At 35.6% G+C, this 13,458-nt stretch overlaps 1 protein-coding gene across 54 annotated transcripts in view; it reads left to right on the top strand.

Moving 5' to 3' along the window:
- Positions 1 to 13,458, top strand: part of ESRRG (estrogen related receptor gamma) — a 634,457-nt gene that overhangs the window by 420,953 nt on the left and 200,046 nt on the right. For 5 of the 54 annotated variants that reach the window (XM_047449371.1, XM_047449351.1, XM_047449389.1 and 2 more), the window contains 3 exons: positions 1,501 to 1,676; positions 2,116 to 2,234; positions 9,264 to 9,391. The exons of 38 other annotated variants lie outside the window; for them this stretch is intronic. In XM_047449371.1, coding sequence (XP_047305327.1) covers positions 9,321 to 9,391 — 71 coding nt within the window. In that variant the 5' untranslated portion in view covers positions 1,501 to 1,676; positions 2,116 to 2,234; positions 9,264 to 9,320. Of the gene's footprint in view, positions 1 to 1,500; positions 1,677 to 2,115; positions 2,235 to 9,263; positions 9,392 to 13,458 lie in introns of those variants that run through there. 11 more of the 54 variants (XM_047449395.1, NM_001243515.2, NM_001243519.2 and 8 more) reach the window with 6 other exon arrangements.

Here is a 13,458-nt window from a genome sequence, read left to right as displayed (position 1 = left end):
TTGCCAAAACTTACAGGGAGCCTACTTCAGATTAGATTAAATTCTAAAAGAAGAACTGAAAAGTACATTTATATTTTAATTATAAAAAACAGTCTTTGTCATATATATTCCTCTGTGACTTCTCATTTTTCTTTGAGTGAAACAAAATTTCATATATACTTTTCATCATTTTGGTTGGAAGTACACATTATGTGTAATATGCTTTGGCAGGACTTACCTAGCCAAAGAAAACAAATTAATATTGGGCATACTGAGGGCTGTCAGGCATATCACAGACATGTCAATTTAACTTTGCTTCATTATACACCTTTTCTGCAAACAGTTGGCTAAGATGGTACTAAATAAAAGGGAAGCTACCAATAAATTCTCATATCAGATTGATGGCTAGTATAAATGTAATGAAAAAACAGCTTGCTTGCTTACTTATCTTTAAAAATGAACTGTAGGAATACAGATAGCATAGATAGCAATAAGTTTCCAAGAAAAAAATAAATTAGGTTCATTCAAATTTTTCTACTACCTTGAAAGTAAAATAGGTTTAGAAAGACAAAAGTCTCTGAAGTGGTGAACCTCAGTGGCTCTTATTTATGAAGTAAATAAAAACTTGAAGAAGTGGAGAATCCAAAGGAACACGGACAATCCACCTTTATCAGGGGACACCTCTTTTTGTTGCACTTTGCATATGTTTTCTGGAAAACAAAAAAATCTTACGCTTTCTTTTTGTATGGCATATTCAATATGCAAAAACAAAAGAAAATTAAAATATAAATTAAGAACTTATGTACAGAAAATAGGCAGAAGCACACTAAATTCTTTTTTTCCATGATCACAACAATACCTTTGTAAATGATAATTCCTTTTTCATCTACTCTAGAAAGATTTTACTCATTTTTCATGGCTTTTGAGAATTTGAACAAAGGATTCATTAAAGAAATATGTATTTTTTTCATACTCACAATGTGAGTTAAAATATCTTAAAAGGATACTTTTCAAGGCAGTTATTATGTAACAATATTTATAAGAACTTATGTTGCTTTGAAAATAATAGTAAATGCATATTAGTCATATATCCAGAACTGCATCCAAAATTAACCAAAATAACAGGTCATATAAAAAATTATAGACTGAGGTACTCATTAAAGAGAAAAAAAATAAACTGTGAGGTTGTTCAATTGATTGCCCTTTGCCCTCCATAATTCCAAATTATCCTAGTACATTAACTTCTCCAAAAATGTAAGATGGGCATGTTAAATTGTATTCATTTTCACATAAATAAAAGAATATTCTGATAATTTTTAATTTCTTTTCAGCCATTAATCCATTAAAACAGATCAGATATTTTGAGGAGGAATATCATACCCGTAACCAACTGTTCATGACCAAAGAAAGGGAAAGATGTATATGGTTGGTGAGAACCATGTCTTTTTCCTATGAGAAAGTGACTGTATACAGTTGGTGCTGGGTCCTATGAAATGACGGAAACATCCCTTTTATCCATAGACTTGAATGAGACCTGCCTCATCAGTCATGGGATCATAGTGTCACAGATGGAAAAGCAACTATCAGCTGAATTGTACTGAACTACACACTTGGCTAATTCATCTTATTGCTCTACACATCTAAAGGAAGGCTCATTCTGTTCTTGGAGTCTAGACAGCATCAGGAGTTGGGCTCAGGTGGGAGCATGTGGCCGCCTTTTTCTGTTCTCTCGTAGTCATTCAGCAAAGGGAGGTGAGGAACAAATGGACAATTTATGCACAGAAGCTCAGGCAGAGATTCTTTCCTAGGGTCAGGAATTTGTTGTTACTCAGTCATTCAAGTAGATTTCCGATTTCTCTTATGCTCTAGAAATGTCATTGTTATCTTTCATGCTCCAAAGTACTACCCGTAAATGATTAGGTGTGTCTTTCAATTCGTATGAGCCATGACCTAGTTTAAGCATTTTTTAATAGATAGAAATGGAGAACAGATCATCTATTTACATTAATGTGAATGATGATTCTTTTTTCATGTCTTTATATTGAACTATTCAGTTGGTTAAGTCTGAAGAATAAGACAAATAATAAGAGGTTAAAAACTCAAATTGTATTTTTTTATTTCTTTATTTTCTTATAGTGAACAAAACTTTAATGTCTAGAGCATTTATGAGGGTTTTAATGATTGGAAAATCTATCCTGAGAATGTGGTCACCATATGTGACAGCCTTGCTTTCTATCTTGTCTTCAGTTTCTGGGGTAAGTTCGGTGATATTGTCTATTGTCTTCCTTTGCTTACATTATAGAACTTCTCTGCTGCCACATTGAGATAACCTGAAGTGTGGGGGGAATGCCTGCTAAGTTCTAAAACACTTTCCTAAACACCTTCCCTTCCTCTATCCCGGCAGTATTTTCCTTTACAATTTCTGTTTCTATTCATCTGTTTTATTAAAGGGTCATTTACTTTGGTAAAAGGTAAGTGCATGATATTCACCCATATTTGCATACAGAGTACACCTGATTTTCCCTCTGAATTCCAAAGAGATTGCCTTCAACTTTTTATATTTGTTTTTCTTTTTGTTTCTGTTTGTAGTGCATTCTAGTTGAGTGCTTTTATAGTGTTTTCTTGATTGTTGTCAGTTTGGGATACTGGAGGCTGACATTTTTGCTAAGTTAATGTTACAGCAGAAAAACCTATGGTAAACTGGAATCTGGCTATAGTGCATAGAAGATACAACTTATGTTTGATTGTGTGTAAATACAGTTAGTTAGTTGGGGGTTTATCAGATAGCTTGGCAGAAAGAGAGAGGAGCAGTACAAACTGTTTTCAGTTAACTGTGCTGTTCATACACCTGATAAGACTGAGAGAGCTTTTCGAAATGCTGATAGGCTTTGAATAAGAAAAGAATAATCACTTCTACTGGCACCAGCTTATCAGGAATGAAGTAAAATGCCAACACTGTTACATTAGCAAAAGTAAATGTTTTAGACACTCTGTGCCTTTTTTCATTCAAGTTAAATAGGAGGGGTGCTTTTGAGTGTGCTGTTATGAATAGAGGGATTTATTACCTTGATGAAATTACAGGTGAATATGTTGATAAAAGAAACTTCAGCATCAACAGCAGCTTCTTTGATAAGCAGGTGCGTCTCTGCTGTACATTCTCTGGAGAAATTAAGTACTCCTTTCTCCACTCCAATTCTATTAAACATCATTTCTGATGTTAGAAGATGCAGTTATGCCCTATGTCAATCCAGTCTCCCTCTTTTTTCAGCAGATGGGTTACAGGTATTTGAAACTTAGCTGATCAGACTTGTAAAATGCTAGTGTGCTCTGGTTAAATAAGTTAGGGCATCTGTGAGTTGTGCTGAACGAGCAAACTCCTACAGGAGAAATCTTTTTTTTTTTTTTTTCAAGAAAGGAATGAGATTAATTATAAAGTTAGGATTCTTTAATGAGAAGATAAATGTATTTGTCCAAGTAATAGTCCATCTTAAAGCACCTCCCTTTGAAAAAAGAGATATTGGTTTTTTTCTTCAATACAAACCATTAACTCTCCCAGTTCTGCCATTTTCTCTTCTTTGTAATTTGACGCCTACAAATAATTTGGCGTATTCAGATTTGATAAGTGATAGTGCAAGAGCAAATTGATTGATTTTGGATTACTATTGATTACTCTCAATGAGATCACTGTGACACACTCAAATCAATAGTATTCGATTAAGCAAGGCACCACCGTTCTATACATTCAGCAGCAGTGGGGAATTCAGGAACAGAATGTTCACAAGCTGATAAATTGACAAAGCGTTCAGCTTTAAATAGCCCTTTGTTCAGTACTAGTTCCTTAAAATATATTTCATTGGAAAGTTCGTTTTTGCAACTTGGGACCTTTCTGTGGAAGAAAGGTCATCAGTTTAAGGTTTATTAAATTTTCACTAAAAACAACTGGGCTCCATTTAGGTGTAAAATAATTTAAGTACTTACTGCAGGCAACCTTCATGCTTTTAAGCTGTTGCTCAAAGGTTTCATTCTTTTATGAAGATGTCAATTGTAAACATAAAAATGCATCACTGGAAATGTAATGGTTTAAGATTCAACGGAAATAAAAATTCCTGCCCGAGGAAAGCACTATAATCAAAATAAGGTGGTCTTCACTTTCTTCAGAAGTGGGCAAGCTTAGCAGCAGTGCTGGGAGGCAGCAGCAGGTAGCGCACCTTGATAAAGCGCACAGCTGCTTATATTTTTCTCCTTCTCATCTGAGGGTATTCATCACGTCGCCAATACTACATGCAAAACACTAAATATCATTTCATCTGAAAACCGCCACTACTGCTGATACACTGAAATCTTTTTGTCCTGAGTAAACTTAGAAAGTCGCTGGAAAAAAAATTATCCATGTCTCAAATCCTTTAGCCAAGGACCTCAAGGATAAGATTTTCTATCATATTCCATTATTGTGCAGTCTTGGCACTTGGAATGAAGCATTTGCTCTTCCGTTATATAGCATTGCTAAGTGGCTTCACCAAAGGGGGACCATATAGTAAACACTCCATTGAATACGTAAATGTTCTTACATGCAAAAAACTTCATTTCACATGAAATGTTTACCACTAGGGCCTATGTACCCAAGACTTTAATAGGTTCCAGTCTTAAAATAAACTTAGATAAGTTCTCTCATTTTGATATTAATTAAAAAATTGATGTGGCTTTCTGAGGGAAAAAGGAATAGGAAGGTCAAATTTGAAATCATAAAATTCCTTGATGAAACATCAGACTTTTTTGAATGAAAGCAAGGTAATAGAATTCTAATTATATTAGAAAGAATCATGTGAAGTTGCCATTTTTGTAGGTCAAACAATGGTCAAGTATCAGTAATTTCATATGATTCAACACAATAATTGAATTTATTTCTCTACCATTCATATTCCATAATCAAATTGAAAGCAACAACTTTTTTAAAATTATTTTTCTGATGGGCTGTCACAGATGATGGGAGACACATGAATTCTATCTACAATTATACCAAGTATATTATAATATCATTTTTAGCAACTTTTTTTCTCTAACATCATTACAGAGCTGCCAAGTATAAAGTATTGTACACACTGAAAAAGTTTACATTTATCTGATATGTCTTCTGCGGTTGCTTAGCTTCTTTTGAGAATCCATGTAAAATTTGCATCTGCTGAGGAAGACCATGTCACAAATGCCAGAGAAACCTCCTATTAGAACACAGTAGTGACCTAGGAAGAGCACATTGCTAAGGGTAAAGGGTTTCAAAACAAATTGGGGAAAAGATACCAACACCTCAAATATTTCATCCTCACATTCATTCGTTAAGAGAACCTTAATATGCTAGTTAGTGCTTTTTGTATTTCCCCCAGAGAAGTATTAAAACTGTGCTCCATGAAATCTGTGCACCGCTGTGGTGTGGGCAGCTGCAGAACTCCCCGAGTTGGCAGTGGAGCCGAGGATGCTTTATTGGCTATTGCAGTCAGGAAAGGTGCCCCAGGAGTTGTAATAAAATGATCCCAGAGCCACCATTTGACCCCCAGATGTGCAGCTCCTATTGGAGCTGTCCTGCAGTGGCCAATAGGAGCTTTCCTTGCCCACCTGCGGCAGAACCTGGCTCCCAGATAGGAAGGAAATTGGCTCGGTCGATAGGTAGGAGGGAGGGGCTCTGATGCCACCACTAGAAATGTCAGCACAAAGTGCTTCTTAACTTAGGGTCACGTCAGGACTCAGTACGTTTTTCTCATTCTGGGTAAATGCACGACAGCTTACATCTTGTTTCAACGAGAAGGGTGGGCATCGTTTACTGAAACTTGATTGAGCGAATGCCTCTGCCTGGTCCCACTGTCAGTCTTGGAGTTTTCCCTTAGTAGTGCATTTCCCCCCTGTCTGTGGCACTGAATTTGATTTATCGCTGGTACTAAGATCAAAAAAGAAATCATTCCTTTTGATGTTTGCTATTAGGCGCATGCAGTGCAGCGGGGTGGGGGCGGTGGGAAGAGAGCAGTCTTAGTACACAAGTCACTGTCCTGGCCACACCATGGACACCAATGGCAGAATATATTTATTCTCTGTTCACTTTGGATGCAAAATTCCATGAGTAGAAAGGTTAGCCATGGAGTATTTCAAATGAATAATTATGTTTAAGTACAGATTCTTTTGCTAAGGACTCAAAGTAGTGACTCACATGTACACCTGATTACAACAGCATTTTTAAAAACTATTTGCATCAATTTTACCAAAAGACATAAAAAGCTCAGGAATGTAAATAACCCAATGGTGGTCAGACTTTTCAAAAAAAGCAATTGGTTGCCTTTTTTTGTTTAGTGGCAGGCAAACTTGGGACATTGGAGCCTTATCTGCAAATGACAGGAAAGATTTTGTGGGGTTGTTTCTCTTGTCTTCTGGACCCTGGGCAGGCTTTGTTTCCAGCTCTGTACAGTAGCTTTTGTCCAGCTTCTTCGTTAGTTTTAGTGGGATTTCTCTGAGCAGCGTGAGCCCCAGCCCATCAGCAGGCTGCTAGTCAGCAGCAGGTGTGAACAACATAAAACAGGATTAACACTGAACCGAAGTGTGTACTAAAAACAGAACCCCTGCCTTGTTTTTTAAAAAGACGGCAGGACTGGAAGATAGAAGCCACTCTGGACTTGTACCCGCCTTGTTTACTAAACAGTGTTCAATGGGCTATGTAAATGGCTCTGTTTAGGTGCAGAGAAGGCATGCGAGGGAGCATGCACTCATTTTCTCTTTTTTTAAAACTATAAACTCAAAACACATGCAGAAAATTCTTCTAAGACTCTCAGAAGAGAAAAGCAAAATAAAACAAAAATTAGGTAAATCCTGAACCAGGATTACAGGTTAATATTGCAAAGACACTGTCCTTATTTACAAATTTGGTGTGTTGTATTTTCCAGCTCTAAAAAAAATTATTGTTTCGTTTATTCTAAGATTTTTTTGTGTGTTTAATTATGTGACTTAATTTATATTTTCACCAAGGTCGGCAAACCACAAATAAGTACAATCAGTAATTTCATTAGAGAGTATACATACTCCCTCCAATTTTTTTTTTTAAATCAGCACTACCTACATAGGAAAAAAAAGCTGGCAAAAAAATCATAGTTAATAAAGGGGTCTGTATGAATTCAGAAAATGGATCATTGCATTGAATCATGGCATTTGAGTCACTTTGTGAATATTTTGTTTGGCAAAAAGAAGGGGGGCATTTAAAAGTATGTTTCTCTTTTTAAATTAAACTAATTCTAGTATATATTAGATTAAAGGTTGGATATATGTTTTCTTTATTAGGTTCAGAATAACATGTATTTTGAAACTTCAGACTTGGCCATATCCAGGAAAAGGTCTGAAATAAGAAAATAACAATTTAATTAATTAGAGAAATTGAATATATATATATATATATACACACACACACACATACACATATATATCTGTACACACATGTACATACACATAACTCTTCTTTGAACACATGCAAATGTAAGCTTTTTGCATGTATATGTATTGTCATTACACTGATTTCTTTTTTTTAAATTATACTTTAAGTTCTGGGATACATGTGCAGAACTTGCAGTTTTGTTACATAGGTATACATGAGCCATGGTGGTTTGCTGCACCTATCAACCCGTCATCTACATTAGACATTTCTCCTAATGCTATCCCTCCCTTAGCCCCCCACTCTCCTGCAGGCCCCAGTGTGTGTTGTTCCCCTCCCTGTGTCCATGTGTTCTTATTGTTTGACTCCCACTTGTGAGTGAGAACATGCAGTGTTTGGTTTTCTGTTCCTGTGTTAGTTTGCTGAGAATGATGGTTTCCAGCTTCATCCACGTTCCTGCAAAGGATGTGAACTCATCCTTTTTTTATGGCTTCACAGTATTCCGTGGTGTATATGTGCCACATTTTCTTTATCCAGTCTATCATTGAAGGGCATTTGGGTTGGTTCCAAGTCTTTGCTATTGTGAACAGGGCTGCAATAAACATACGTGTGCATGTGTCTTTATAATAGAATGATTTATAATCCTTTGAGTATATACCCAGTAATGGGATTGCTGGGTCAAATGGTATTTCTAGTTCTACATCCTCGAGGAATCACCACATTGTCTTCCACAGTGGTTGAACTAATTTACACTCTCATCAACAGTGTAAAAGCGTTCCTATTTCTCCACATCCTCTCCAGCATCTGCTGTTTCCTGACTTTTTAATGCTCACCATTGTAGCTGGCGTGAGATGGTATCTCGTTTTGGTTTTGGTTTGCATTTCTCCAATGACCACTGTCATTACACTGATTTCTAACACTCCAAAAATGTGTCCAAATGTAGACATTTATATAAGGTGGATCTATTTGTGAATATAATGTAAACTTAACTAAAAGAATACTATTGAAATGTAAAAAATTAAAATTTTGTTTATAATTCTCTTTCAGTAGCATCTTGGTAATATATATTACTTTTATTATCTTTTATATTCCAGGCTTAAATTGTAATTACATACTAGTTTCTTCATTCTTTATTTATACTTATTCTTTTATTTTTTTAAATGGCTTTTTTTTCTGAGACTTTGCTACTAATTTTATTTTAGAAGTAATATTGCCTACCAGTTTAATTACGACTGTCTTAACACACGTTGAATATACCAAGAATATTCAAATCATTATGAACTACATAAATTCTAAAAATTGTTTCCATTCCACAGTTGCTATCTTAAAAAATTAATCTAACACCACTTGCCTTCCAGTGTATTTTTTCTTAAGAAATGTTTATTCTCTTCTGTTTAGTATTTTTAAGTATCCTCCATTATGTACAGTAATTAGGTTATGGGTACATAGCTTAATGATAGTTAATAAAATCAGAAAATATCAGTTTAAAATTGATTTTGAAGTGTATTCCATATAACCAACTCTCTGGTGTCAAATTAATTGCTTATAGTCTCACATTGCATCAAAAAATATTACATGTGTTCTTTTGCAGTTTTTAAAATCATTAAAGCTCTCAATTTAGTGCATTGAACTGCATTTTCTTGATCATTCAAAAGTATTTGGCTATGTGGAGACACTGTCTTAAGCACTAAGATCTTGAAATGAATGATAAAAATATGTGAATGCATGTAAAACATTTAAAAATGGGATTTTTCATACCTAAGTCTCCAATGTAAAAAGGAGTCAGTCTTCATAAAATAAATTCAGGACTTAAGTAGCTGTAGTTTTACATAAAACTTCAGCAAATTGCAACTTTCACCCTAACTTTCTGGTTTTGGCTTTTTAGAACTGATGTAAAGTTCCCATCATGAATGTAATTAGGAATTGTGCATTTAGATCCTGAATGTGGCGAGAATGTGATTGGGGTCTTGGAGCAGTCAAGTCTGATCTGGCCTGTGTTCCTTCAGCTAAAAGGTGGGCCCGATTATTTTTCTTTGTGAAGACTTGATCACCAAAGTTGCCATTAAATCTTAAAATGCTCAACGTTACTTGTATATGGTTTGATTTTTTTAGACTGATTAATGAAAAGAAAAAAAAATGCTTTTAAAGATCATGTAAGACAGTATATTTCCCAGGTAGCAGAGAAGGTAAGAAGGATTTGTTTGAACTCTAGAAGGTTTATGTTGTTTGACTTTGAGGGAAAGGTTTGAATTAGTAAACTCATTCCAATCAAAGTAAATGACTATTGAAAAGTAGTTTTTATAAGAAAACCTTGCCCTTAATCTTGAGATAATCTCACAGCTATTGTCTTTGTCCAGCATTCCTGCAACACTGCCTGGTAGTTCCCAAAAGCCTGGGATTTCAATTTGCCTGAGGACTCAAAGATTGAATTCAAAGCAGTTCTCTGTTTGCAGCATCTCTTCAGTGGATGCATTTTATTTAGGAGTTTTATTTATTTATTTTTGAAGATACAGATTGGTTTGCTCCAGGTCATTAAAATTATTGTCTTTCACATTTTTAGATGTTTTTAATTAGATGATTAGTGAAGTTAGGTAATAAGATTTATATTGGCATCAGTTAAGTTTATAGAAGGATTAAAATCATGGTATCAGGGCACCATTGCCAATCGGAATATGCCAGAAATATCTCGAGAGAGTTTTTGTCAAGTGTTTATGCTCAATTAAAATTTATACTACATGTTACTGAGTGCTTGTCTCAGGATAGCTTGGCATCATGATGTTGTAAGTTTCCAATTGCAAGTGATATGCAATGCAGTTTTTTTGTGTGTTATAGTATTACAGGATTGCAAACTTTGGAAGGGAAATGCCACACTTTTAGAAATGACACCAGAAATATCAGACAAAGAACTATTGCAACGTGGGCACAGCCAGCATTTTCTGCAACATCAAAAGGCTGTAAACATATGGTTTTTATCTTTTCCACTCCATATATGCAAAGGACCTTTATGTAAGCACTGCAGACATGAGCTGAGTCATCTCACCTATGTTTTTGCTTCGTTTGTGGGTTTTTTTGCAAAATATTTGTGAACATGCTTTATCCAGCCCCCCACCCCCGCCATAGTCTTTCTGAGTTTTCCCATATCACTCCCTTTGAATTCTCTTCACTTTTTAAAGCTGAGGTGGACTGTTTAAAATGGATGCATTCTTCGTCATGTATAGTGCCAGAATGCTTCGGAAACCTTCACCGTAGTCTTAAAAAAGACAAACTCACTAACAAAGCAACAACATGAAACATCAGGGGTTGCTGGGGGTGGGGGACGAGGAGGAAGAGGGCAGCTGGTAATTTATGATTTCTCTAGTATTGCATGTAAAGGATTTGCCAATGCCCCACTTCCACCCCACCCCCAAACTACACACCGCTCAGTGTTAGGATGATGATAATGTACCTGGAAGGAAAAGGCAGTCCATGCCCAGGCAGGCAGCATCAGACAGGGCGCCTTGCCATCTGCCCCACCTGCTGCATTCATGAGTCCATCTGGTGACTGCAATAGCTCATTGTAGGCCTCTTCTGAGGAACATTCGGGCTGAAAAGCAGGCAGTGTGAATTATTTAGGTAGCTAGTATAAATAAATAGAAGGAAAGAAGAAGAGTAACAGGGGAAGGATCTGAAAGAACCTGCTGCTCCCTTGGTCCTGGGTGCTTTGGAATGCTTTAATGCATGAAAGCATTCGATTTGCATATAGATTTAGATGTATAGATCATTGTGCAGATTACAAACCAATGAGTTTTATCTAGATTTAGATAATGCTCAGCCTGTTTTGCACTTCAAATATGGGCAATTCCAGGTAGGGAATCTTTGGGACTTTCAACGGAAGTGTAACTGAAGAAAAGTAATATTTTTGGGTATTGATTTAGCAAAATAAAACAACTGTGTGTCCTTTTGGAAACAGATTTTTTTATAGTGGGGATAACACATTTGACTTTTTAGTGAATAATTTACACAGATTGTGTCCTTTTTTTCCTTACTAGATATAAAAAAATAGAAAATAATTTCTATGTCAATTATATTCGTTTATGTGGCCATTCAGAATATTTTAGTTGGCTACCATGTACAAAGCATTGTTTTGGATTTTGCATATATATTAATATATACTAACTATTAAATGAAAGTCTTAAAACGTGTAAATCTCTATGTAACTGTGTGTTTTGTGCCTAGATAAACCACATGGACAGGTACCTACTTGATTAGCCCAAAAAAGAAATACTTAAAGCGATTGTAAACTAGAGTCAAACAAGTCATTTATACTGAAATAGACACTGTTGCAATCAGGAAAGTTTAAACATACTATTTTTAAAGACTTACTGGTATCTTTTGTATCTAACAAGATAAGTTTACAAAGCTGTAGTGTCATTGTGGACTAGGAAGAGCTAATTTATATAAAAATGATTATAAATTGTAAATCAAAGTTTAGAACTGTGAATGGAATTGGTAGCTTCCAGACTTGAATCAAATTTTCCTATTTTTCTTCCTCAGAATCATTCAGAACACAGTATCATTTTGGGCTGTGGGTAGGGGGTTTTATTTAAATTATGATTTAAAAAAAATCTACTCCTCCAATTTTTACATTATAGATTAACATAGACATATACGTGTGGATAATATTATATGTTATATCTAGTGATTATATCTTATTATATCTTATTTGTTAACTGAGTACCTATGATAAAGTCATGAAAAGAGAATTTTTTTTTAATATTTCCTCTGGCTCCATATGTACAGAAAGGCATGTGATGTTTTACACTTTAGAATTTACTAGATCTTTTTTTCTTCTCCTTCTTCCTCTTATTTTGGAGAGAGACAGAGTTTTGCTCTTGTCTCCCAGGCTGGAGTGCAATGGCATGATCTTGGCTCACTGCAACCTCTGCCTCCTGGGTTCAAACGATTCTCCTGCCTCAGTCTCCCAACTAGCTGGGATTACAGGTGCCCACCACCATGCCTAGCTAAATTTTTTTGTATTTTTAGTAGAGATAGGGTTTCACCATGTTGGCCAGGCTGGTCTTGAACGCCTGACCTCAGGTGATCCACCCGCCTCGGCCTTCCAAAGTGTTGGGATTACAAGCGTGAGCCACCGCGCCCAGCCGAATTTACTAGATGTTTAGGGTTAGTTAACAGTATCCCACTTGACTCAATTCAGTTCCAAAGTAAATTTAAAAGATCTGCTTTTTTTGAGCCAGTGAAGTGCTAGCCTTCATTTAAATAAGCAAGGTCTATATGGGGAACGGAACACACATGAAAATGAATCACATTGCTAACTCAAAAGGTAACCAGTAATCCTTTTTATATTTTTTCAATACTTTTTACTTCAAGAAAATTTATTTATACCCAGCCTTTTCCCAAAAAGTCTTTGAGGTGATTGATTCCTTTTTACCTGCATTTAAAACCATTTTCCAGCACCAAATAAAATGAGATATTTTCCTTACATCAAGCAACTCTGTAAAATTTAAGGGCCGTCAATAAAATTCAGGTGAGTTAGGCAAGACTGAAGTTTATCCCCCATTCACCCATTCTTTTTTGGCTCTACACTTCCTCCTTTGGCATCCCAGCTCTCTCTCTTCCCACCCCCACATTCAACAAAAATCCCACTCCTGCACACACACAAACACACAGAAACATACACACACAAACATACACACACACACACACACACACACATCTATCCAGCTTTGAAAACATGCCATTAAAAAAAGCCATTGTCTATTTTTTCCTTGCACTTAAAAAAAAAAGCAAAAAAAAAATTACATTTATACAGAATTAGTAACAAAGACCTTCACTTATTCTTAAATTACCTTTTCCTGAAAATCAGGCTACTTCTCACAGAGTCACTGGAACACTGTTTGCTACTCTAGACAGGCAAAGAAGGACAAAGTTGACAGAGACAAAACTTAATTAAAGGTAACCTTTATCAAGCTTTTCCAACATATGGCCCAGGACGGCTTTGAATGCGGCCCAACACAGATGAGTAAACTTTCTTAAAACATTATAAGATTTTTATGTGTGATTTTTTTTTAAAGATCATCAGT

This window comes from Homo sapiens, chromosome 1, assembly GCF_000001405.40.
Source record: "Homo sapiens chromosome 1, GRCh38.p14 Primary Assembly".
NCBI lineage: Eukaryota > Metazoa > Chordata > Mammalia > Primates > Hominidae > Homo > Homo sapiens.
Note: the sequence above shows the minus strand (reverse complement) of the source record. Positions and strands in the feature narration are given on the sequence as shown.